Source organism: Homo sapiens, chromosome 11, assembly GCF_000001405.40.
Source record: "Homo sapiens chromosome 11, GRCh38.p14 Primary Assembly".
NCBI classification, from domain to species: Eukaryota; Metazoa; Chordata; class Mammalia; order Primates; family Hominidae; genus Homo; species Homo sapiens.
Window position 1 is genome coordinate 106384665 of NC_000011.10, and position 27939 is coordinate 106412603.

General features: G+C 38.8%; 1 long non-coding RNA gene across 1 annotated transcript in view, besides 1 other annotated feature; it reads left to right on the top strand.

Annotated features, from left to right (window-relative positions):
• LOC105369474 (uncharacterized) overlaps window positions 1-24520 on the top strand; it is a 41954-nt gene extending 17434 nt beyond the window's left edge. Inside the window, exon 3 of the long non-coding RNA XR_947985.1 lies at window positions 24479-24520. This is a non-coding gene — a long non-coding RNA (uncharacterized LOC105369474). The remainder of the gene's footprint in view (window positions 1-24478) is intronic.
• Window positions 10396-11595: an enhancer, noted in NCBI's record as "P300/CBP strongly-dependent group 1 enhancer chr11:106265787-106266986 (GRCh37/hg19 assembly coordinates)". NCBI's record gives its function as "activates an origin of replication core promoter dependent on BRD2, BRD4, P300/CBP, MED14 and CDK7 cofactors, with strong dependence on P300/CBP, by STARR-seq in HCT116 cells {active_cell/tissue: HCT116}" and the evidence as "EXISTENCE:reporter gene assay evidence [ECO:0000049][PMID:35650434]".
• Window positions 24521-27939: the final 3419 nt, after the last annotated feature.

Consider the following 27939-nt stretch of genomic DNA (forward strand, 5'->3'; position numbering starts at 1 on the left):
ATTTATGTGCAGTTTATTCAAACATGCTTGGTTTCCAGAGATTTCTGTGAATCAAATCTATTCTCCACAAGGCATACAGCATAATCTTTCTTAAATGTAAATCTAATTATGTCTTCCCATTACTTAAAACTTTGCAAAGGCTCCCTAAGGCTCCTAAAGTAAATTTAAAAATTCGTTAAGAATGGTTTACAAGCCCCTGAACCATCTAGTCAAGGCTTTTGTACTTAGATTCATGCTGTTTCTCCATTTCTGCTATACTACCTACAGTTCAGTTCAGGGCTTTTCTTATTATTATTTGTGCTTCTCAAAAATAACTATAGAATATGCTGGGAATGTAACCTCCTGAGACAGGGAGGGCTGGCTAGAACTGTTCAGTCCAACCTTAGAAAGAAGATATCTCTCAATGCACTATCCCAGCTATTCACATGATCAGAGGCTATTAAACCCAAAGCAGACCCCTTTCTGGTGTGATACAAGTGATATCAGCTGTGATACAAGTGGGGCATATGTCATCAAGACTTCATTTGCTCTGGGCAGCTTTTCTGAGCCTTGGGGGTCTAGCATGCAATGGATTCTAGGCTTCTATTTTCCCTTGTCTATCTGTAAGTAATAAATTTGCTTTATGTAATTTGTGTTAGGTGTTCTATCTCATCAGAATCAGACAAGTTGGTAACCAGTGACCCTGCTTTGCAATATCTATATCCATTTTAGATTATTTGAGATAGAATTTCCAGGCTTTTACATCATTGGTTTCCATATTTGATATTCTAGAATATATCCTTGTGCTTCTTTATTTTATTTATTTATTTATTTATTTTTTGAGACGGAGTCTTGCTCTGTTGCCCAGGCTGGAATGCAGTGGCGCGATTTTGGCTCACTGCAAGCTCCGCCTCCCGGGTTCACACCATTCTCCTGCCTCAGCCTCCTGAGTAGATGGGACTACAGGTGCCTGCCACCATGCCCGGCTAATTTTTTTTTTTTGTATTTTTAGTGGAGACGGGTTTTCACCATGTTAGCCAGGATGGTCTCAATCTCCTGACCTCGTGATCCGCCCGCCTCGGCCTCCCAAAGTTCTGGGATTACAGGCGTGAGCCACCGCACCATGAGTTCTTTAAGCTGCTGTCTGAAGATTATTTCCTTTCATATTGGAATTGGAGTGTTTTAAACCTTTATTGCTTGGAGCCACGTGGAACTTCTTGTGTCACAGTAAGAGAAAAGCCCACATTTGGCCTTTCATTTTATCACAAAAAATCCAAAAAGAAGAGCATAAAAACTGGCTTACCCCATTGTTAGCTCCCTTCCTTTCCTTCTCATTCAAATAAGGGGGCCTGGGCCTTCCTCCCTCTGTCCATGCCTGTCACTTTGGTTCCTGTGAGACAAGTTCTTGTGAGACAATTCTGTTAAATTGTGTTTAGTCTAAAGCTGTCTCCATACACATTTTTAGTTTGATCTGAAGATTTCTCCTTACATAGTGAATTGTAACCTAACTGGATGTGTAAACAGACAACAACCTACTCTTGTACCAATCACTGAGTTTCAGCCAATCAGAGGTGGCAAACTGTTCAAACTGTGTTCAAACAAGGCAAACATTGAGCTATAACTAATCCGGTTGTTGCTGTATTTCACTTCTACTTTCTGTATGTTACCTTCCTTTTTCTGTTTGTAAATCCTTTCTGATCATGCTGACCACCTCCAGGGTTGCCCTGAACCAATTTTTGTCTGGGAGTGGGGGAGGCTGCCTGATTCATGATTCATTCTTTGCTCAATTAAATTCTGTTAAATTTAATTTGTCTGAATTTTAAACAAAAAGAAATCCTCTTATTCCTCTACCCTTTGATTCTATGTCCTTTCTTTGTAAGAAAGAGTTTAACAATCAATGGTCCATGGAACAGTTGTTGACCGGAAAAGAATGGCTTATGGGTATGCAGAGATGTGATTTGTCTTCATTCCCCATGGTGGGTAGGCATGGCCTGGGGTTTTCAGTCTGTTTACTCTGCTGCTTCCTACAGAAAGTATTACTTTGTATATGTTTTCTGAGAAACGTTGTGGAGCAATGCTTAGTGGACAGTACTTATATGGCAAGAGATTTAGGAGATCCTGATTGGTATTTCCACTTTAGCAACTCTGCAACATTACAGTAGGACACCAGATGTTCTATTTTTATGAAAATCCTAAATATCAGCAGGAAGAAATGCTAAAGGTGTCTTTAAGACTAAAGGCTAAGCCCTAGTACACTGGGTTTAGAATCACACATAAGGATCAAGAATGAGCAAGTGGTAAAATAAACACTGTCTTTAATTTACTGAGTAGACAGGGAACTTAACCCAAATTTAATTAAGTAAAGGTATTTGGGCTCTGTTTCAGGGCAATAGTTTAGACCACTAGAAGGGGTCTTATTTAGTCAGATACTTGGTGATAATGTTACAGCTTAATGGGTTCTTCTTGTCTGCTGCATAGAAAAGCCAATACGTGAGGCGGCAGTGTTTCAGTAGAGAGTTTAATTACTGCAAGACAGCAAGTGAAAGGACAGGAGATATTTCACAAATCCACCTCCCTGAGAACTTAGAGGCTAGGGTTTTTAAGGCTAATTTGTCAGACAGGGAACTAGGGAATGGGTGCTGCTGAGTGGTTGGGATTGAAATCTTAGGGGTGTTGAAAGACCGCTTTTCTTTTTTTTCTTTTTTATTTTTTTTATGATTATACTTTAAGTTCTAGGGTACATGTGCACAATGTGCAGGTTTGTTACATGTATATACATGTGCCATGTTGGTGTGCTGCACCCATTGACTCGTCATTTACATTAGGTATATTTCCTAATGCTATCCCTCTCCCCTCCCCCCACCCCATGACAGGCCCTGGTGTGTGATGTTCTCCGTCCTGTGTCCATGTGTTCTTATTGTTCAATTCCCACCTATGAGTGAGAACATGTGGTATTTGGTTTTCTGTCCTTGCGATAGTTTGCTCAGAATGATGGTTTCCAGCTTCATCCGTGTCCCTACAAAGGACATGAACTCATCCTTTTTTATGGCTGCGTAGTATTCAATGGTGTATATGTGCCACATTTTCTTGATCCAGTCTATCATTGATGGGCGTTTGGGTTGGTTCCAAGTCTTGATATTGTGAATAGTGCCACAATGAACATACATGTGCATGTGTCTTTATAGCAGCATGATTTATAATCCTTTGGGTATATACCCAGTAATGGGACAGCTGGGTCAAATGGTATTTCTAGTTCTAGATCCTTGAGGAATCACCACACTGTCTTCCACAATGGTTGAAATAGTTTACAGTCCCACCAACAGTGTAAAAGTGTTCCTATTTCTCCACATCCTCTCCAGCACCTGTTGTTTCCTGACCTTTTTAATGATCGCCATTCTAACTGGTGTGAGATGGTATCTCATTGTGGTTTTGATTTGCATTTCTCTGATGGCCAGTGATGATGAGCATTTTTTCATGTGTCTGTTGGCTGCATAAATGTCTTCTTTTGCTAAGTGTATGTTCATATCCTTTGCCCACTTTTTGATGGGGTTGTTTGTTTTTTTCTTGTAAATTTGTTTGAGTTCATTGTAGATTCTGGATATTAGCCCTTTGTCAGATGAGTAGGTTGTGAAAATTTTCTCCCATTTTGTAGGTTGCCTGTTCACTCTGATGGCAGTTTCTTTTGCTGTGCAGAAGCTCTTTAGTTTAATTAGATCCCATTTGTCAATTTTGGCTTTTGTTGCCATTGCTTTTGGTGTTTTAGACATGAAGTCCTTGCCCATGCCTGTGTCCTGAATGGTAACGCCTAGGTTTTCTTCTAGGGTTTTTATGGTTTTAGATCTAACATTTAAGTCTTTAATCCATCTTGAATTGATTTTTGTATAAGGTGTAAGGAAGGGATCCAGTTTCAGCTTTCTACATATGGCTAGCCAGTTTTCCCAGCACCATTTATTAAATAGGGAATCCTTTCCCCATTTCTTGTTTTTGTCAAGTTTGTCAAAGATCAGATAGTTGTAGATGTGGTGGTATTATTTCTGAGGACTCTGTTGTGTTCCATTGGTCTATATCTCTGTTTTGGTACCAGTACCATGCTGTTTTGGTTGCTGTCTCCTTGTAGTATAGTTTGAAGTCAGGTAGCATGATGCCTCCAGCTTTGTTCTTTTGGCTTAGGATTATCTTGGCAATGCGGGCTCTTTTTTGGTTCCATATGAACTTCAAAGTAGTTTTTTCCAATTCTGTGAAGAAAGTCACTGGTAGCTTGATGGGGATTGCACTGAATCTATAAATTACCTTGGGCAGTATGGCCATTTTCACAATATTGATTCTTCCTATCCATGAGCGTGGAATGTTCTTCCATTTGTTTGTGTCCTTTTTTATTTTGCTGAGCAGTGGTTTGTAGTTCTCCTAGAAGAGGTCCTTCACATCCCTTGTAAGTTGGATTCCTAGGTATTTTAGTCTCTTTGAAGCAATTGTGAATGGGAGTTCACTCATGATTTGGCTCTCTGTTTGGAAAGACCACTTGTCAAAGTGGTCTGCTGAATCTGTTTCTGGGTGAGGGGCCACAGGACTGGTTAAGTCAGTTCCCTCATATGAGTCATGGGTGTGGGTTGAGTCAGTCAGTCAATGGAATGCAAAAGTCTGAAAAATATCTCAAAGACAAATCTTAGGTTTTACAATAGTGATGTTATTTACAGGAGCAATCTGGGACATTACCAATCTTGTGACCTCTGGCTATGTGACACTTGAGCAGTAACAGATTATGAAAAACCAAGATACCAAGATAGGGAACAATGCCTGTTTATTATTTAACTATGTCTACATCTTAGCAGAATTAAGGTCCCTCCCATAATCCTCAAGTTCTGGCCTTTCATAAGTCTTGCAAAGGCAGTTTCTGTCCCCAGAGGGGCATCAGTTTTGGCTAGGAACTATTATCATCCTTGCTTAAAAAAAAACTATAAATTAAATTCTTCCCACAGTTAGCTTGGCCTACACCCAGAAATAAGGGCAGGTAGCTTGTGACGTTAGAAGCAAGATGGAGTCAGTTTATTTTAGATTTCTCACACTATAATAATTTTTGCAAAGGTGGTCTCAATAATAACATAAATATTCTGTACCTCAGTTCTGGGGAATTTTATCTTAAACCATGTGAAAAAATGCTGCAAGGAAACTTATAGAATCAGGAGAGTCAGATCGTCTTTGGGAAATCACATTAAAACCCTACAATGCTAGTGGGGAAGATATGCTGTTTCACTTTGGTGCAGGGTTTCTCAGCCTCAACACTTCTGACATTTTTGGTCAGATTATTGTTGACCTGCGCAGTGTAAGATGTTGAGCAACATCACTAGCCTGCCCACTGGATGCCAGTAGCATCCCCTCCTCTATTTGTAACATCCAAAAATGTCTCCTGTGAGGACAAAGTTACCCCCATTGAGAACCAGAGCTTTAGAGCAGTTGGTGGCAACGTTGGCATGCTTGGGGAAGTGCTGTCAGTGGTGGCAGGTGCAGTAGCCAGGGATGATTGAGATGACCATGTAGCTGAAGTGATACTGGCAATATCTACAGCATCAGGAGCAACTTACATGGCACTTAGGGAAATGTGTGACCCAAAAAAACAAAACAAAACAAAAACGCTGACGGGGCAAGGAGGGGATACCCAATAACTCTACTAGGTAAGGTTCTGGAATCAAAACCTATTGCCTTGATTGACAGCTCTTGGCCCCTTTCTAGCAGTACAGTTCAGGGGTGTGATGATCATATACTTCTAGCATCACTCATTTATTGACTATTGCATATGTAGGATACCAAATTATGCCACCCCCAAATATGCCTGTTTGGCATAAGGATTATTTTGAGGTATAGCATACCCAGGAGAAGTTCTGAAAACAGAATAGATGTTACCCTTTTGTAAGGGAAATTTACATTTATAAAGGAAATTTCCATATGTAAGGGTGTTTCCCTTTTTGTACCAAAAAGAGAAAGATGACTAAATCACAAGGAACTCTTATCAAGGAGAAGACTTAAATTTCCATAACAAGCCTTATTCTTGTTTACCCTACTTTTCCTGGTCACCTTCCCATAACTGGCCCCCCCCACCCCTTCTTTCTTTGTTTCAGTGGATGATAGTATTTAGCCAATATTCTAAGACATCTATTTGAAATTGAGTTATTTCTCTAACTCCCATATATATATGAAGTACACATGTTAATAAACTTCTGTTGTTTTTCTCTGGATAATCTCTTTTGTTACAAGGATCTGTTCCAGCTAATAACTTAGAAGGGTGGAGAGAAAATTATTTTTCCTCCCTTACAGATACCACTGTAGTACAGTCACTGTGTTAGTGATTGAGGCAGAAATCAACAAATAAGGTCATTGCACCTAATATAGACCTGCAAACAAATAATTATAATAGTACATTAGCAACCGACATCAAGATGACACGTGTAAGTTATGATAATGGAGCAGGTGTCATACCCCGATGTGCCTGAGGAAATCAGTGAAGGGTTTGCAAAAACATTAATGCTTAACCTGAAACTTGATGGAAAAAAAGCCAATAATTTAGCAAGTAGATTTACAAAACATGGAAAGGGCACTCAAAATAGAGGGAAAAATGTATAAATAGCACACAAAAGTGGCAGAACAACCTATCTTCTTAGGTCAAAATATAGTTAATACAGTTATAGTACAAGATGGTCGCTTTTGTGAGAGATATTGAATAAGGTACAGGGTTAGATGGGTAAGACGGTTACCTCTCCAACTATTGCTCAAGCTTTTAATGTTTCTGTCTTCATGGAAATCTGTGGTCTGCTGGTAAGAAATGTGCATATAGGCTCAATGCTCCTTGGCTAATAGAATACCAGATACTTGTTTTATGTGGCTGTGAAATGGGTGGGAAACAGAGGGAAAAGGCAGTAAAGCCAAGATTCTGCTGTGACTTCAGTCACTGGGAATGTCATTGTATTCTGAACTTGCCACCTGATTCATACACAATGACAACGGGAGAGTGAGGGGCAAAAGACCAAGACAAACCCATCTTCACAGAGAAAAAGCCATATGAACATACATGCCCTTACCACATGTCAGGGTTCCATTTTTCTCTGTAGTAGTTGCTTTCTAACCAGTGCTTTTTTTATTACCATGTGATTATTATTAATGATTTTATTACTGTTACTCTTTCTTTAATGAGGAACTGGCGCTCATGTCTTATAAAACTTCAGTGTACTTTGCCAACATTATTTTTTTTCCTAGACAGTCCTTCTCTCTTTTTTTACTCTGCATTGGTATGTTAATTCTTTCCCAATGAGTCAGTAAGGACGGAAATATTGAATTAGTTGAAAAGACATATTTACATAGCTCTGAAGAAAAGTACCAGTATCCTAGATTAGCACAAAGCTTTAAAAAATTTATAAAGCCACTGCTTTCATCTACCCTGAGAGGAAAATTACAATGGATTTTCTGACAATAGAGTAGGAAAATAGTCTGCATACAATAAAGTCCTACAGCCATCCAAATCACTGCCATAGCTATTCAACTATCCCATAAGGTCCTCATAACTCCTGTGGAAACAGGAACAGAAAAACAAGAGGAACCAACAAGGCAGGGATTGTTAGTGACCTACTGTGCTGGCTGAGAAGAGATTTGTGCATATTTGGTTCTGACTGTCTTTATCCTGCCCTTCATTATGTTCTCCTGCAACAGTTAGAAAGGAAAGTATTCCAATACTCTGATTCTGATATTGAATATAATTCAGGTTAGATTTTTGTCACAAAATTGTATTTTAAATATTTATAAACCTCAGCTTAATTTTCAAATCAGTTTCTCCACAAACTATTTACTTACAAAATGTACAAAGAATGAAGGCTTACGTGAATAAAAATTAGAAATGAAGAGAAAAATCCTCATCATGTTAAAAACTAATTCGGTTTACTAATGGTTAGCATGTTTCCATGTCAACCTTAGGTACTTTTAGGCAATTTTCACAATGAAATTTTCTATTACAATATCTATCTTAGAAGAATTTTTACAATAGAATTGATTCATTGTAATATTGTGCCTCCAAGTATATTTCTATATTTGTTCAGAAGAGTTTTGAAGGCTCTGTCACAGGGTTGATTTTTTTTCTTCTTACAGTGTACTTGCTAATATTGAATAAATGAGATTTATTTTATTACCTTCAAATGGTTTTTTTTTTTCCTTTTAGAGAGTGTTGAGGGCAATATGTTAAAATATGTTTAAAAAGATTTCAGGTTTTGACACAAATTATAAAATGTAAATTCAAACTGTAGAGGTGAATTCCCTTCTACCCTCTGAAAGTTCACTGAAATGAGCTGACAGTAGACAGGTTAATAGAAGAAAAGGCATACAAGTCTATTAATGTGCATGGGGGAAAAATCACAGGACAGTATTGTCCTCTAACACAATCAGATTCAGGGACTTATATACCCCTCTTCATAGGGAAGAGAGAAATGAAGGTGTAGCCATTTTAGAGGGGTAGTAAATGATTTTTAGGGGAAATGCCCAAAAGAGCAGGCAACAGTTTGTAAGTGATTCCTTCTGGAAACTGAATGAGCCCCAAGAACGGACAAAGAACTGAGACAAAGTTCCTCTAAGCTCTGGGGAGGTAGTGACAAATTTTGGGAAGGTAAGGGGTGGAACTTCACTGTGAACAGACGTTGTCTTATTATGTAGATAATATCTCCCAGATAATTCCTTGGAGATGCTCCTAGAAGTATAGATGAAGTCTGTGCATTGTGACAAGTTTTGATCTTTTCTCCAAAAGTAAACCTTTCCTGGTTATTTGATGTGATTCCTAGGAATGAGGTTGTATTAATTTGTTCTTGCACTGTTGTAAAGAAATACCAGAGACTGGGTAATTTAAAAAGAAAAGAAGTTTAATTGCCTCACAGTTCTGTAGGCTGAATAGGAAGCACAGTGGCTCCTGCTCAACTTCTGGGGAGGCCTCAGGAAACTTACAATTATGGTGGAAGGCAAAGGGGAAGCCAGCATTTCACATGGCTGGAGCAGACAGAACAGAGAGATTGGGTAGGTGCCACACACTTTTAAACAAGGTCTCATAAGAACTCACTATCACTTTGTCAGCACCAAAGGGGATGGTGTTAAACCATGAGAAACCGCCCCCATGCTCCAGTCACCTCCCACCAGGCTCCACCTTCAACACTGGAGATTGTAATTCAACATGAGATCTGGGTGAGGACACAAATCCAAACCATATCAGAGGTTTCAAGACAATTTCATTTCTTTTGGAAGAAGTTTCCTTCCTCAGTCAGATAAGAGAACTTCCAGAGAGAGCCCTTCCCTGTGCGTGGTTGGGGGTGAAAGGAAAGGTTAGAAAGCCTTTGGTTTTGAGGTCGCTTCTGTCTTGCAATTTTCTTTAACTTAAAAGTGTTCAGAGTTCCAAAGCACTGTACTTTGGGGTATTGTTCTTTGAGCCCCAACAAAAGTTTTTGCTGTCCCCTTCTTGCACTCCCTGAGATGTTCTTATTACATGTGAGTGCTAGGTTTCTGGGATTTTCTTGCCGTTATAATTCTTTTAAATTAGGCTTTCCCCTAGGAAATGGACACATTCTCCTCGTCTATGAGAAGCCAGAGGCGTGTGCGCTGCTTTAAATTCCCTCCCGAGGGCTCCACAGTGAGGCAGTTGCATAGGTTGCTATACTTATTGTGAATACTGCAGGCTGTGTCTGAAGCAGAATGGACATGATGGCACCACTGTGTTTTGAAGAGGGACCTGTTCACATTGGCCCACATCCTGCAACACCCTGCCCTGCTCGTGGCACTGACCCCCTTTCCCTACCTGGGCAGGCACTGACAAGGAGATGGTTCAGAATTCCTGTTGATGAATCCCCAGCACCTGGTGTAGAATTAAAAAAAACACTTTTCATATGTGTGGCTATTTACTCCATTTGAGAGCAGAAACATTTATCCTTCTGTAACAAGATAGTAAATAGAAAGTTTCAACTGGACCATCCTCATACAATAGCTATGGAATTTCAAAATGAGGTGCCAGGCTATGATGTAGATTTTCAAACAATTGTTTGAGAATTGGTTTACAACTCTAGGAACTTTCATATTCAAGAGGGAGATTAAAAGGTTGAGAGAACAGAGATTAAAAGAATACCTTGGAAGGTGATTTATCAGGTCAAAGAACTAAGGGGAGTAGAGGGAGCACTGCCACTTAGTTCATTCTTGGTGATGTGACAGGCATGCATCAGGGCCATTGGAAAAGCTTGATGAATGTTCCCTGTAGTTGGCAATACAGAGGGTTGGTGTCAGTTTCCTGCTTGCCCACAGCAGCTGAGTAAAGGTGCTGCACCTGCAAAGTAACTGAATTTTCCTGAGATTGTGGTTCAAAGTCACGTATATCCCAGAGAGCAGAGTTGGGAGCAGCAGCAGAAAGTTTAGTCCAGGGTCTGTTTAAAAGGCATTTTTTGCACTTTGGGAGGCCAAGGCAGGTGGATCACCTAAGGTCGGGAGTTTGAGACCAGCCTGACCAACATGGAGAGAAACCCTGTCTCTACTAAAAATACAAAAATTAGCCAGGTGTGGTGGCGGGTGCCTGTAATCCCAGCTACTCAGGAGGCTGAGGCAGGAGAATAGCTTGAACCCACGAGGCAGAGGTTGCAGTGAGCTGAGATCGTGCCATTGCACTCCAGCCTGGGCAACAAGAGTGAAACTCCATCTCAAAAGGGCATTTCTTATGCAATGTGGCTGCCAAGGCAAGGGGGTCTCAGAAGTAAAAGGAATGGATTTTCTTCCAAAGGTGTTGCTGAGTGGATAGAAGAGCAACCAGCTGAAGGAGAAGGAGAGACCCTAGCCAGATCAAAGGAATCAGAAAGCCCCAGCAGCTAAGACTCTTGGAATGTACTCTTGGACAGTCATGGCTAGAAATGAGAAAGAGAGAAGGAGTCCACCTTGCATTTGAAGGCAGATGTTTGTCTGTGGCTGGTGTGGGCTGAAGCGGCTTCCTTTTGAAAGAAGGTTGAAGTATCGCTTGTCTTGTATAGGATATAATAAATTCCTCTTCAAAGGTTTTAGCCTGTAAATTGTTAAGTACAATGAGTTCTGAGATCCTCTCCAAAGAACCAATGCATCAGTATGTTCAGATTCTCTGTTTTTTGTCCTTCATTTTAAAGTTTAACTTCCTCTGTTCTCTTTGTTTCTTTGCCCCTAGTTTCAGTAAACACCCCCCTCCTAGCCTCTATCACCTGATCTGTCCTGAGTCACCCCTGGTCACCTGCTGTGACGTGAGTCATCCTGAGTCACCTGTTCTGTAACCATCCTTCCCGCCAAACTATTCACACCACCACTCCGGCTCGTACCCCTGCTCTCTTTAAAATAGCCAATTGGAATTAGCTTAGACTGTGTGGTCCAACCCTAGCCAATAGGCGAACGACACAGCAGTAGGAGCTACCCACATCTGGGATAAAAACCCCTTACCCTCCCTTGTTCAGGTGTGCTCTCGCCATTGCTCCATCCATGAAATGCACTCTTCTATACAAGTAAATTGCCTTGCTGAGAAAATTTTTGCTGAAGTGCTATTTCTTTTGCGGCACCGAAAGTTTATTTCTAACACTTGGTATGAAGACTTAATTTCTGAATTAAAGGTATGTTCTGTGATTAAAGTGTGATAATGACTTTACTTACATAAGTGACATCATCATTGGATGGCACGGGTTTCCATCTGAAGTACAGGGGAAAGAACTACTACTCAGCAGGCTTAAAAGGAGAATGGAGGCAAAATAAATGTACTTGGGCAGTTTTACCCCAGCAATCCACTAGAATTTTTTATATTTTTCTAAAACATCTAGGATTCTCTTCCTTGTGTTTAATGTCTCAAGGAGGCGGGGACATGGCTTTCTAGGCTTTTTGAGACCCAGCACTAAGCAAAACAGAATCATAAGTATATAAAGCAAAGCCCATAAACCATCCTCAATAAGCAGTGCCTGCTTTCAAGTGCAGAAGGCCCAGGAAGGTCGTAAGGTAGATCCAGAATCAGTCGTTATTGGTCAGCAGGCCTTTGAGGAAGAACAATAGGGACTGTGAATCTCTGAAAAATGCTTTCCCCTGCAAGATGGCATTGCACTCAGACAAGTTGCTGGTCTCTTTCCTTCCCCTCCCCTCCTCTCCTCTTACATTACCTTCCTTTCCTCCTTTTTCTTTTTTCTTCCCTATTTATTGTCCAAATGGGCATAGCCATGGCTAGAAGTTGAAGGTAAGGTACAAAATGATGGTGAACTAATCACTTTAAAATTCACAGGGTGACTATAGTCAATAATAACTGTACATTTTAAAATAAAGAGTGTCATTGGATTTAAAAATAAAGAGTGTCATTTAAAATAACTTAAAGAGTGTGTGCAATTCAGTGGATAAATTCTTGATGAGATGGATAACCCATTCTTCATGATGTATTTTTTTCACATTGCATGCCTGTATTGAAACATCTTATGTACCTCCTAAATGTATACACCCACTATGTACTCACGGAAATTAAAGAAAACAACAAAACTTCTTTTCAAGAAGCTTAAAGACTTGTGCACTTTTTTGCCATGCATATGACAGAAGCTTCATTTTCAATTTTAATTATTAAAAATTCTTATATTTTGTGGCAGAAGATTCGTGGACCTTGTCTCCAACTAGAGGAGCTCTAGCGTACTGAAGGACACTGAGAGGTAATTTCTCCTAAAGGTGCAGCCACCCTGAGTTTGCATGGCAAAAGCTTCAGGTGCCCCCCACCCCACATCAGGATACTGGATGGAGCTGCTGTCATTGTGGGAGGCTGTATAAAGGGCGGTTAAAGTTTTAGGTATCAAGAGTTTTATTACATGTGTCAAATCCTGGCTCCACAGCATGCTTCTATAATTTATATAAACACTTTGTGCGTCAGTTTCCTAATCTGCCAAATGGACATGATCATAGAACCTCTAAATGATTGTTAAGAGGTTTAAATGAAAAATGTACTTAGAATGTTCTGACATATGGCACCCCAAAAATATTCTTTTATTAATTTGTGACATGTTCTCTTTCAACCAGGAGAGGTAAAAAGGAGGAACTGCCTGCTGAATTTTGACAACATTTAACCCTTAGGTTAAATGGGGATTTCTAAACTTGCCTGGGGGTCTTCCAAGGCACTGACACAAGGGGAATTCTGGTGCCCGTCTAAAGTATGATCTTCTTAAACTCAGCTTAGAAATAATTTGTTGCATTTTTCTTTTGCAAGAAGGCTAATCTGCTACTCCGGATATTACTTCCACGGGATGGTAATGAGGCTTTCTGGGAAGTAGTAGTTAATAGCTTTAGGTGTCTTTTGTTTCCTTTGTAACTGTTAGGGTGCAGACGCTGATTGATGGATGTCAGCAAGAGAGACTGCAGGTAAGAACAATTGGGGCCGCTGTAAGGTTTCAGAGTAAAAGAGAGATGAAGGTTTAGATCTAGCCACATCTGTTTGAATTCACTCAGAGAAGCCAGACTGGAGCTGCTCCAGGGCAGAGATTTACAATTCTGTCATCTCCTTGCAGTGCCCAGCAGGCTGGCCGCTCAATAAATATTTGCAATATAACATAAATGGTAAATTTGGAAAAGAAGACAAAATGAGGCGGAGGCGGGAGACAGAGTAGGAAGATTTCAGGTCGTGGGGAGAGAAAAAAGTAAAGGGAAGCCACATATGATGGGAAAGATATTCATGTGGAAGATATTGGGATGCTGACTACTACTGCTGAGGTCAGTAGGCAGGGTAGAACAACTCAGGGCTCTATGGAGGAAGAATGGGATGGGAAGTGATGGGAAGGAGAAGACAAAGAGCAGGAGGAAAACAATTCCATTTGAGGGTAAGAGCATTTCTCTGGAGCAGGAAAGAGCAATAAAGTCCACGCAAAGATCAGTGGAGCTGCCCTGAAAGTGGCAGCATGTGACAGGCACAGTGCTCACCCTGGACGGCTGCAGTGGAGCATGCAAAGGGAAGCACGAGAGGAGGAGAGTCAGAGAAACAAGAATGGGGAGAATGTTCATCGTCAGTCTTTATATGTTTATTTTGTAATATCAGTGAGAGTTAGTAGATTATTTTCCTTCTTTCTTCTTTTTCTTCCCCCCTTCCTTCCTTTCTTTCTCTCTCTTCTCCTTCCTTCCTTTCTTTTAGGAGGTTTGTAAGATTCATTTTAAATATACAGCATAGAAATATCACCTTGTCTAGTAACCTATGAGCTCATGAGGCCATGTGTGTGGAATGACTTTAATGAGGATACTGCAAAAGTAAAGAATGATTATTAAGCCAGGACCAAGGCTGGGAACCTCCTCATCTCTTGCCAACTCTCAGAAGGGGTGTCTTGGGTGAAGTCCATGTGACCAAAAGGAAAGTCAAATGTAAAGTGATTTTTTTAGTTCCCGCTGCATAAACTACTTTTTAGAGTGAAATTGTAAAACACAAAGCTGAACTCCAAAAAGGCCTCTGGCTGCAATATTAGCAGTGTGATGGTTTATGGAAATACTTTAGGGCGGCTGCATTCTGGCCCGCTGCCTGAATCCAAGCATCTCCCCCTGGGTCTCTGACTAAGCCTGACTAAACTAATTTACTCTGAGTGCGAGGCACACTATTCACATCAAAAGAATGTACTTAAGTAGATATAGTGCAACCTTCCCCTGTGGTTGGTTTTGCTTTGCTCTATACTGAAGCTTGGCTGCCATCTGGAAAGATGTCCTAACTTCACTGTTGAGCCAATAAAGCTGGAATAATGTGAAATGGCATAAGCTTTTAAGTCAGGCCACTGGAGAGTGAGAGGCTGCCATGGGAGGGGGAGGGTGTAGTAGTAGGTGAGTGGCAGTGGAAGGCTAGAAATGCATCCAGGCCAGGCCCTTAACTGAATTCCACAAATGGGATGGCTCCTGCGTAGAATAGTGTGATGGTTATGGCAATAAACTTTTGAGTTAGCAAGACACAGGTTGGAATCCCTGGCTTGGCCCTTTAGTAATTTGGCCAAGTTATTTAACTTCTCTGAACCAATTTCCTCATAAATAAAATGAGGAAAATAATACCGACCTCACTAGGTTTTCCTAAGGTTTAAATAAAATTCATATGTAAAGCATTTAGCTCAGAGTGGTTTTCAACTCTGACTGCACATTGGAATTCAGTAGTGCTGTGATTTGAACATGACCCCAAAGTTTATGCGTTGAAACTTAATCCCCAACGCAACAGTGTTAAGAGGTCGGACCTTTCTGAGGTGGTTAAGTCATGTGGGCTCCATCCTCATGAATGAATTAACACCATTATCTTGGGAATGGGTTAACTTCAGCCCCCTGCCCTGCTCTCTCTCATACACATGCTCTCTTGTCCTTCTGCCTTCCACCATGGGATGATGCAATAAGAAGACCCTCACCAGATTTAAGCCCCTTCATCTTGGACTTCCCAGCCTCTAGTATTATAAGAAATAAATTTCCGTTCTTTATAAACTACGCAGTCTCATATATTCTGTTACAGAAGCACGAAGCAGATGAAGGCAAGTAGGGAGGGTCTAAAACTATCCTCATGCCGCTGCAGTTCAGACAAATTCAATCAGAATCGCCAGGACTGGCGCCTGGTAATTGTATGCGAGGACCACTCACAGGTGATTCTGATGCACCACGAATGTTGAGACTATTGTGAACTACCTAGTTTGCACTCATGAAAGAACAGCTGCTACAGGAGAAAGGTTTCAATGACAAACTGCTGGAAAAATACTTACCATAGCACATAGCATATACTAAATACTTGGAAACAGGTAGCTATTTTTGCTTACCCTAATTTTATTAAGCCATAGTATAATAGTTAGTAGGTGAGCTTAACTATAGGCACTAGAGAACACATATGAAGTATGAGTTTTACTCTGAGGAGTGTTAAGTGTGATAAGAGAAAGCATATCAAACCTTAATGAAACTGGATTAAGGGAATATGTTTTTTTTTAAAGTGCGGTGTCAAATTGCTGTCAAAATAAGTCAACATTCATAATTTCTTACCAAGTTAACTCTTAGTGGAGAGGCAGGAGAGCAGAGTGGCTAGCAGTGTGATCTTTGAGGCTGACTGTCCATGTTCCAACTCTAACTCAGTCACTTACTAGGTGGGTGGACTATTTAACATCTCTGTGCCTCAATGTCCTCATTGATAAAAATGGAGATAATAATGGTACCTGCATCAAGAATGTTGTGAGGAGTAAATAAGTTAATATAAGTAAAGCACTCTCTGCAAAACCTGGCACTTAGTGATTAATACTAGCATCAGCTAGTAGTAGTAAAATACATTCAGTAACACTTAAAATCCTAATTTTACTATTTTAAGTGTATTTAAATTTTTTAAAGATCTGAGTGTCAAAAGTGATCAAATTCTAAAGTAATATGCATTTTTGTATGTCATAGAATCACTTGAAAGTTTTGTTAAAAATTAGAATTCCTAGTGACTCTGATGCACACAAAACTAGGAGAGTCGTCAGTTGGTGAATCCTAACCACAGGGTCACAGGGTCTGCTTCAGTGGGTGGCACTGAGCAGTACAGGACATGATTATTGTATCAGGAGAGCAGCTTCGAAGGAGGTCACGTGCCCTCAAATTTCCCCAAACATAAGAAAACCCTTTAGAAAACAACGTAGAACCTCCAAGATTATGTGAAATCCTCTATGTAAATTGAGAAACACAAGCTACAATTCCATTCAGCAGCAGTGCATGTATCATAAATATTTTAAGCAAGAAAAAACTACTACAAAAATTTGCCAAAAATTCACTGAAATCATGTTTCAATCCTACCAATTGTGAAGAGGCCTATCCTACGTAGTCTAAGTTATGTTATCCTTCTTTGCCAAAAATGAGTCATGCTGCAACTTTCTAATACAGAAATTACTCTTCCCTTTATAGATGACATGATCAATACTTATTAATCTCATAATAGTCAATACAGAAGTTTACTCTTATAACTTTCATTGAAATTTCTGATATATCATTTTGTCTTGTTTTAATGTTATGTCATCTTTGTCAAAACTATTTTATAATTTTACATTTGTAATCTCATATATAGTATTGCCAAATGTTTATCATTTTACAGATTTTCAATCTTGTACTCAATATTTTATTACCAGATGTTGATTTTTTTTTTTTAATTCTGAAGGTCACAGGCTTTTTATTGAATTGCTTGAAAAAGATAAGCACCAGCATTCACTCCTTATCTCTGTAGTTCTCTTTGCCCTTCCTTCTCCTGAACCCTGGAAGGTGGTGTTCTTTCTCTATTCCAATTTGATTTAAAACTTATTAATTTTGTTTTTGTTGAATCTTACGATTCCTGAAAAGGTAGCAACTTAACATGAATTTTTCTCTTAAAAATTATATGTTTGCTCTGAACTGTGGATTAAAAAATGGCTCCACTAGTAGTATATTGTTCAGTAAAACTACAGATACTCAAAATCACAATTAGCCATTTTTTTAAACAAATAGGTACTTTTTCACCTCCTTAAACTCTGAATAATACCCACTAGTTTTAGAGGGAAAATGTATTTAAATATAGATAAACAAGTCTGAGTTCAGTTTAGGAAAGACTGCTGTTTTTCACAGGCGCAAATGTAGGTGTTAAATGGTGCTATAGGTTCATAAATCCCAAAACCATCAGAATGGAGTAGTCATCAACTTCAGATAAACGATCATACAAATGATGGAGTATTAGGTCAGATTATCTTTCACCTGCATTTTTGCAGTTGGTAATATCAGTCAGAAATGGATTGAGGATTTCATATCAAAGCCCTTTACTTGAGGGGGCACTGCTGGAGTAGGCTAGTTATAGCAAATGTTATGCAATAACTTAACCAGAATAGGTCCGGTGAGGACCATCTCTAATGGGCTGTGTGTAGATGGTCTGCCCACTCTGGTAATTGGGTTTTCATGGCTGCAATACCTCTTCCAAACAATACCTGAAAAAATGCCTATCCCAACACTCTAAAGGAATATTCAGGAAAGAATGTTATGAGTATGACTAACTTCATTTTGTTCATTTGGCTGTATAGTAAATAGTAAATTATAAAATGTACAACTCAATAAATAAAGTGATACTACATATTCTGGATTATGTGGTGAAGATTTTGTTTTTTTCATTTGGTATAATAAAACAATTTGGAGAAGCTAAGGGAAATTTCTAAATGTGTTATATTTTTCTTTTAAAATCAGCTCTAAGTCATAATTTACATACAAAATATGCCCCCATTTTAAGAGTACAATGCAATAAGTTTTAAGAAATATATATACCGTAACCAACACCCAAATAGTTTCTAATTGCCTCTTTTCCGTCAACCCCCTCCCACTCTCAGCCCTACGCAACCACTGCTTTACTTTTTTCACCATAGATTTGCTTAATATTTTGTAAGCACTTGCTTAGACTTTTTACAAATAGGATTGCCTAGTATGCATTTATTTGTATTTGGCTTCCTTTGCTCAGCATAATGCTTTTGAGATTCATCCATATTGTAGTCTTTATCAGTATTTGATTCATTTTAATTGCTGACAGTTATTCAATTGTTTGAATATACCACATTTTGCTTGTCCATTTATGTGGTGTTGATGAACATTTGGATTTTTTTTACTAGGTTTTAGCTAATATGAATAAATGTTATTATAAGTCTTTATGTGGACACATTTAAAAATTTATAAGCATTTATTTTGGAATAATTTTAGATGTGCAGAAAAGTTGCAATGATGGTACAGATTGTTTCTGCACACTCTTAACCTACTTTCCCCTAATGTTAACATTTTCCATAGTCATGGTACATTTGTTAAAACTAAGAAATTATCCTTGGGACAGCACTATTAAGACTTTATTCAGATTTTACAGATTTTTCAACTAATGTCGTTTTTCTGTTCCAGGATCCAATGTAAGATACCACATTGCACTTAGTTGCCATGTCTTCTTTAATCTCCTTCAAGCTATGACAGTTTCTCCATCTTTTCTGTTTTTTATGACCTTGACAGTTTTGGAGAGTACTGGTCAGATATTGTGTAGGACGTCTCTCAATTAGGGGACATTGTTTGATGTTTTCTCATGATTAGACTGGGGTTTTGGGTTTTTGTGAAGAATGCCAGAGAGGTGGAGCACCTTCTCCTAGCATCATATTAGGGGTACATAATATCAGTATGATTTATCACTGGTGAGGTTAATCTTGATCACTTGATGTTATGGTTTAGATATGAGCTGTTTGACCTCACTGAATCTCACGCTGAAATGTGATCCCCAGTGTTGGAGGTGGTGCCTAGTAGGAGGTATTTGGGTCATGGGGGTGGATTCCTTACGAATGGCTTGGCGCTGTCCTCCAGGTAATGAGTTCGTTCCATTGGGTTGGTGCAAAAGGAATTGCTATTTTTGCCATTGAAAGTAATGGCAAAAATATCTAGTATTTAATTTTTTTTTTTTGAGTCAGAGCCTTGCTCTTGTCGCCCAGGCTGGAATGCAGTGGCGCGATCTCAGCTCACTGCAACCTCCACCTCCCGGGTTCAAGCGATTCTCCTGCCTCAGCCTCCCAAGTAGCTGGGATTACAGGTGCCCACCACCATGCCTGGCTAATTTTTGTATTTTTAGTAGAGATGGGGTTTCACCATGTTGGCCAGGCTGGTCTCGAACTCCTGACCTCATGATCCGCCGGCCTCGGCTTCCCAAATTGCTGGGATTACAGGCGTGAGCCACCACGCCCAGCCAATATCTAGTATTTAATATGTAGTATCTAATATTTAGCAATATCTCTATTAGTTCCCATGAGAGTTCCCCAGAGAACTAGTTGTGAAACAAGCCTGATGCCTCCTCCTCTCTCTTTGCTTCTTTTGCCATGCGATCTGCACATGCCAACTCCCCTCATTTCACCATGAGTGGTACCTTCCTGAGGCCCTCACAAGAAGCAGATGCTGCTGCCATGCATCATTTATAGCCTACAGAACCATGAGCCAAATTAATCTCTTTTCTTTTCTTTTGTTTCTGTTTTGTTTGAGACCGAGTCTCACTCGGTCACCCAGGCTGGAGTGCAGTGGCGTGATCTCATCTCACTGCAACCTCCACCTCCCAGGTTCAAGTGTCTGTCACCCAGGCTGGAGTGCAGTGGTGTGATCTCATCTCACTGCAACCTCCACCTCCCAAGTTCAAGTGATCCTTCTGCCTCAGCTTCCCGAGTAGCTGGGATTACAGGCATCCATCACCACACCTGGATAATTTTTGTATTTTTAGTAAAGGTGAGGTTTCACCATTTTGGCCAGCCTGGTCTCGAACTCCTGATCTCAGGTGATCCACTCGCCTCAGTCTCCCAAAGTACTGGGATTACAGGCGTGAGCCACCACGCCTGGCCAAATAAACTTCTTTGCTTTACAAATTACCCTGCCTCAGGTATTCCTTTATAGCAACACAAAAGACTAACACACTTAGCGTTCTGCCAGATTTCTCTACTGAACTGTTACTATGTTCTCCCTCGTGTGCTTCCGATAGGCTTCATTTGGCTAAAGGGCCTGGGAATTCCTTTCTGGGGAGTCTAGTGGAGAACCTGTTTTCTTGCCTTTTGCAGTTTCTAGAGGCTGTTTGCATTTCTTGGCTCATGGTCCCCATCCGTCTTCAATGGTGGTAGTCGCCAGCTGAGTCTTTATCACATTGCATCCCTCTGACACTGACTCTCCTGCCTCCCTTTTCCATGTATACAGACCCTTGTGTCTGTATACACAGACACATCTACTCAGAAAATCCAAGATAATTTTCTCATCTTAAATTCAGCTGATTCTCTATCTTAATTCCATTTCCAATGTTAATTCCCCTTTGCCATGTAATGTAACATACTCACCACTCTTGGGGAATAGGTTATGCACATCTATGGGAGGCCATCATTTTGCCTCCCACAAGGTTATAGTCCAGTATTCCAGTACATTATAATCCAATACATTATTTTGTTGCTCAAATTATTCCAGCTTTGCCTCTTTCAGGTTGGCTCCTGTATCTTCAAGACGTATCCTCATCTTTTTTTTTTCTTTGATTGATTCCTTATTTCTGGCATGACAAGATGTTCCAGGTTTATCTTATATTTTTCCTGTCCCAGTCATTTCTTGAAGGAGTCCGAGTTTCTTTTATTGGAGAATAATATTTAGAAACCACAATCTGGGTGCTGGGTGTGCTTATTACTACTGAGAGGTTACTACTTCTAAACCCTCTCATTGGACAGAGCTGAGAAATATATGTATGTATAGTAACCAACGTGTACACACATATCTATAATTATTTCTGCTTTTAGCTATTTGTGTATATACATTAAGATAAAATTGCATTCATGTTGATTTCTCCAACTCAAATCCAGTAAAACAGGGTTTGTTCAAGCCTTATCCCCTTGCTTATTGTAACCTCTTTCTCTGACACTGAGAAATCTGGCTCTCATGATGTAATTTATTTCTTTATTTTTTTAATCTTAATATATATGTAAGGTGGTTTCAGAATCACTAACCCAGACTTCTATGAGAAACCAATTTATCAACTTGCATAGTGTGGCTTCAGTGTCACGGACCCAGGCCTCCGTGAGAAAAAAATTTGTCAACTAGAATAGTGTTTATTATAGTACTTTTTGTCTTTAGCTATATAATTTCCAGTCAAAATATCATTTCCAAGGTTACTTAGGTCAGATCTTCTTCCGTACCCAACCCTTAGTGAGGTCATATCATGCCATTGTAATTCAGTTAGAGTTTTTTTTCATTATCTGCATTCCATCCCCTGCCTTCTTGGCTGATTTTAAAGAATTTTCATATAGTAATATTTAGTTTTTAAAATGTAAAATTCTATGGGTTGTGACAAATTTATTTATCAAGATATTTATCAGATATTTATCAAGCCAGGATCATATAGAAGAGTTCTATCACCATAAAAATTCCCTCACAATAGTTTATCACTCTTTCCTTTTTCCAACCCTTGACAACCACTGATTGATTTTTCCGTTTTTTATAGTTTTTCCTTTTTAATCATGTCATATAAATGAAGTAATACAACAGGTTGCCTTTGAATCTAGCTTCTTTCACTTATGAAAATACACTTAAGATCCATCTGTTTTGTTGCATGAATCAATAGCTCATTCCTTTTTATATTCCTGAGTAATAGTTCATTATATCTCTTAACCTTAGTTTGTCCATCTATTCACTTATTAAAGGATTTCTACATTGTTTCCAGTTTAAGGTGATTATGGCTAAAGCTACTATAAACATCTGAATACGTGTGTGTGTGTGTGTGTGTGTGTGTGTGTGTGTGTGTGTGTGTGTATTTAGGTTTTCAATTCATTTGGGTAAATATCTAGAAGCCTAATTGCTGGGTTGTATGTTAATTCTATGTTTAACTTTATAAAAACTGCCAAAGTGCCTGTACCATTTTGCATATAACAACAATGAATGAGCATTCGTGATGCCTCACATCCTTGTTAGCATTTGGTATTGTCAGTGTTTAAGGCATTCATTTAATAATTTTAATCGGTGTTTAGTGGTGGTATCTCGTTTTGGCTTTAATTTGCATTTTTCTAATGAGAACTGATGTTGAGCATCCTTTCCTGTGCTTCCTTTTCCATTGCCATATCATCTGTGGTGAAGTCTGTTTACGTCTTTTGCCCACTTTTTAGTTGTGTTGTCTGTTTTCTTACTGTCGAGTTGTAAGTTACAAATCTTTTGTCACATGTATGACTTGCAGATATTTCTCCCAGTTTGTGGCTTTTCATTTTCTTAATGGTGTCATTGGCAGAACAAATGTTCTATTAACCAGGTCTAATTGATGAATTTTGTCTTTGTTGATCATGCTTTTGGTGTCATATCTAAAAATTCATAGCCACACTGAACATCCCACAGATTTTCTGCTGTTTTCTTTTATAAGTTTTATAATTTAAGTTTTACATTTAGGTTTATGATCCATTTAAGTAATTATTATAAAATATGTGACAAGGTTTATTTAATTTTTTGCAGGTGGTTGTCCAGCCATTCCAACACTTTGTTGAAAGGACTATCATTTTTCCATTATATTGCCTTCAATCCTTTGTCAAAAATCAGTTGACTATATTTGTATGGTTCTATTTCTGTACTATCTTATTTTGTTCCCTTCATCTGTATATTTACTTTTTTTGCTAATATCACACTGTTTTGATTAAAGTATCTTTATCATAAGTCTTGAAATTGGATGGTGTAACTTCAATTTTGTTTTTTTTTTCAGCATTATTTTTGCTACTAGATTTTCTTTGCTATGCCATGTAAATTTTAGAATCAGCTTGTTGATATCTACAACTTCTTCCTGGAAATTTTATTGGAATTGTATTGAATCTATAGAAAATTTAGAGTTTATCTCAGGTTCTGGCCTTAGTTACTGAAGTAAGAGATAAGGAGTAGGTTTGAAGGGTAGAGAGGAAATGGGATCATTTAGTCAGGTTAAACTAATGGTCTCTGTGGTATATCTAAGAAGAAAGATGAACAGCAGAAAGTTGAATATGTGATGATGTTTTATTCTGGTCTTTCCTTTTCAACTCACAATAATGGCCACTCAGTCAATGAAAGGTATCTATTCCGAAGGCATATTTTGCTTTTGGAAATGTAATTATATAAGGTAGAGTAATATAGGGGCTTATGGATGCAAGGCAGTCGATTGCTCAGTAATACTTTTCTCTCTCTACTGCTAGTTGAGGCTACCTTTCCCCTTTATCTCGCACCTAGCTATCATGTTTCTCTGGGAATGATCCTCTCAGTCTTAACATGGCCTGATCAACCTTCTCTGAACCCAGATCATGGAAGACCCAGAAGTAAGACACCTCCTTACTTAAGCCCAGATCTCAGGCCATTCTTGGGCAGTTTCTCCCTCAGTCCTCACCCCCCTTATCCTGATTGAGATTAATCTCACCTTACCTTTCACTTTTCTAGGAAGACTTTATCCAAAAAAATGTGTCGCCAAAGACTGAACGTATTTATGTTCTCCTTAATGGAGTTAGGATGACTTTGCAAAGATGCACACGTAATCATGCCACCCTCCTGATTAAAAACCTTTTAATGGCCCCCATTTCCCACTAGATGAAGGCCAGATTTCTCAACATTATGTGCAAGACTATTTGTGAGAGTCCTCTTGCTTTCCCCTCCAGGGTCATCTGTCATTAATAACACTGTGATCTAGTAAAATAAATTTTCCCTCACTTCTCAAGATTGTAGTAAGTGCTATTCCTAAGGGCTCCCATAGTCTCTGTGCTTGCCCCATTGGAGCACATTTCTCAATTGTGATTTTCTGTTTATTTGTCTGTATCTCCTCTGCACTGCATGTTCCCTATGGGTAGAGGCAGTGCCTTGTTCTCCGATACATCCTCCAGGAGGAGTCGCAGTGCCTGGAAGGTAAGTACTTTTTGAGTTAAAAACAAAAGAATGATCCAATTAATGCACGAATAAAGGCATCACTGTATTTATTTTCAAAAGGTGCCTAATATTTATAGTGATTTTTTATTATTATCCATGTCTTTGGATTTTTCAGGATGTTGCCAGTTCAAAAGTGCAGAAGCCATACACACAGAGAAACTGTAAGTTAAAATGCATTTTGATAGAACGAGACAACATTTTCAGTGCTTTCATTATATTACCTGACACAAAAAGAGAGTAATAATAGATCACCTGGCCACTTACATAATGAACCTGAGTTCTTCTTGTCAGAATGACCTTGTAGGACTATATAGAGTGATATTGCAACCATAACAGCAATTGAAGAAAGATCCAAAGCCCAGAACTCATAATAAATAGATGAGTCATAAACTGGAAGCAGGCATGTGTGGCACCCATATTTAAAAGGAGCACAGAAATGAATTAAATAAGTAAAAATGAGATCTGGTAAATTGCCTGTCAGATAGCTGAGATCACTATAGCAAGCAAAATCTTAGAATCATTATGACAATGCTGAGTATATACAGGTTGAGACACAACACAAGTAATGCTAATTCCTTATATTTAATTAGAAATATTCTTATGTGAACTGAAAATTTATAGTTGCTTTAGGTTTCAAGGCCCAAAGGTATATAAGTACAGTTTTCTCAAAAGGCACAGTAGTCTCTACCCTTAAATGCATAATCAGATAGACAAACTCATATATGACACCTTTGAAAATACTTGACTATATAATTGCAAAATTCCTATCTGTCGTAGTGGAATGGAAAGAGTGAAGCTTTGAGGTCACTAAAGGATAGTTGTAAAACCTGGTTTTACTGCATGCTAGCTGTGTGATATTTCATGAGGGAATTTCACAACTACTCTTGGTTTTCTTATCTGCAAAATGGGAGAAAGTAGATCTACGTTAATGATCTTCTAAGACAATGCTTAGAAGCAAGTGCTAGACACATTTTCTGATCCAGAACAAGATGCCACAAAAGAATCACAGCTGTTGCAACCACTTCTAATTTTCTTTCTCTACTTGTTAGAAAGCAGAAATGTATTCTAACAGCAAAGTTTCCTCTGAACACATTTGCATGGATAATAAGAAAATGACATCAAGTAGGGAAATTGAGTTAATTATTGAGTTAAAAACTGAGTTGAAATTAAGTTTAAGGCCTAATTCCTGTTACAGCTTCATCTATTTTCCTTTCTTTCTATTGCCTAGTCTTTTATATATACTGAGTACATGAGCTAGCCCAGGTGTTCAAACTACCCAGGGCATTTTCATTATATAATGAGGACTAAAATAAATCCTTAGATGTTCAGCCTTATTTGAAAAAAGTGCTGTAGGTTCCTGATTCCTGCTATTAATAATTTTTTAGTTTAATGGTTTGAGTTCTCTGAAATGTAAAATGTGAAACCAGTTGAAGCTACTGTTAGTTATTAACATTTTGGTTCAAATCAGTTCCCAATTCTTTTTTGAGGGCTAATTTTAAGAGAAAAATACCTGAGGGCTCTGGTTGAGAAGTAAGGGCCATCCTCTTGGACAGAAACTGGCAGTACTGATGGCCAACAGCCCACTGTGATTACTGAGGATCGAGGCTGGTTCTACTAATGGTAGAATCTAGCACTGTGATGGATCCATCCACTTGTGGCTATATTTTTATCCCATTTCAGTAAGACACAGGCAAAAGTTGGCAAACACTTTTGGATTTGTAAACTATGTTAGTATGTCACAGAAAAAAGGATAAAGCTGCCAATTTTCACAGTTTTCTATCAGGTTTTCTCATGTTACTATAGGTTTTTTTTTTTTTTTAGAATGATTGGCAACAGACAGATATATTTCCCTATTTTGCTCTTGTCTGATCCATTTTTCAGGTAGATGTACATGTAAGTAATTACAATCTATATTTTATCATGTAACTTTGAGAGTATTGCATGTGTTAGGAGTTCAGATTTGAATCAAAGTCTCCAGCACCTGGGCTTTGCACTTGAGTGATGTGTTCCATTTTTTAATAGCACTTTATTGTCTACTTATGTTGTTTAGTTGTCAGAGGTGACATCCACATTTTCAAATCTCTAAATCTTCTTTTACCTGTGGTGAAATTAAGTGCAATCATGTGGCACATTATTAATGCCACTGGTTATCTTATTATATTAGATAAAAGGGATTGCATTTTCTATGTATTGTAAATCTCCTAACATTCAATCATATATACATTTTAGTAAGGTACCAGTGATATGTCACATATACGATATATCACTCAGTCTTGCTGGTTATAGGTATTGAGAGCAAGATTGTCAATCCTGGAGAAAATGGAGTGTGTTATACAGGAATTACCAATGCTATTGTTTTCTAATTGGCTCAATATCTGAGAAAGGATAAATATAAAGATGCCATGAACAATTTTTAAAAACGCATGCTAACACCTCAAATCAAGCTATACAAGTAATTAACCAGGGAATAATTGGTATGTTTGTAGTCCTTGATTTGCTGTTTTATTTTCAGTCGGTCAGTTTTCACATAAAACTTAGATATTAATATGTTTAATTCTGCAGAAAAATTAGTGATTAATATTTCCTATATTATATCACAGAAGAATGAGAAATTTGTCATTTTCAAGCCTGTACATAGTTTTCTATTCTTCTCCTTTTTCCCTCTCCCTGCAACACACACCCACATCACACCCATTGCTTCCCAACACATACCCCACAACCCCCACTCACCTCAAGAATGGAGTCTCAGATGCCTCTTCAGGATGTTTGGAGATTTGGGTGAACACAGATGTCTCCAGAATTGCATAGGACACACTGTTTTGGTTGACTTTTCAAATCAGTAGGGAGAGGGGGGCAATCTCACTTTTCTGACCTATAGATTCTTGATCCTTTTTGGGAAGAATAAATGACATCCCCAGGGCACAGATTGTGGGTACCTATTTCATGCTAACAGGAAATTCCTCAGTTACCTTATATTATTATTATTATTATTTTTGAGACAGTCTTGCTCTGTCACCCAGGCTGGAGTGCAGTGGCATAATCTTGGCTCACTGCAACCTCCGCCTCTCGGGTTCAAGCAGTTCTCCCACCTCAGCCCCCAAATAGCTGAGATTATAGGCACACGCCACAATGACTAGCAAATTTTTGTATTTTTAGTAGAGATGGGGACTCCTCATGTTGCCCAGGCTGGTCTTGAACTCCTGAGCTCAGGTAGTCTGCCTGCCTTGGCCTCCCGAAGTGCTGGTATTACAGGTGTGAGCCACCGCACCCGGCCAGGTCACCTTATATTCTAGGCATTGTGTTTTGCGGAAAAGAAATGAAGATTCAGAAATTTATTTATCCAAAGTTATCACTTATCCATTTTCAACCAACATTTATTCAGCACCTATATTTATCCAGGCAGATAATGACAGATCTGAGATTCAAACACAGCTAAACTCATTCCATAACATTTTCTATTAGCTGACCAAATGTAAAATGTACCTCTTTTGAAGTGCTTTTCTAAAATTATGTATTCATTTATTATGGAATATAGCATATGCTGTCTTATCATTGTTGAAACATTTGTATTTTGTC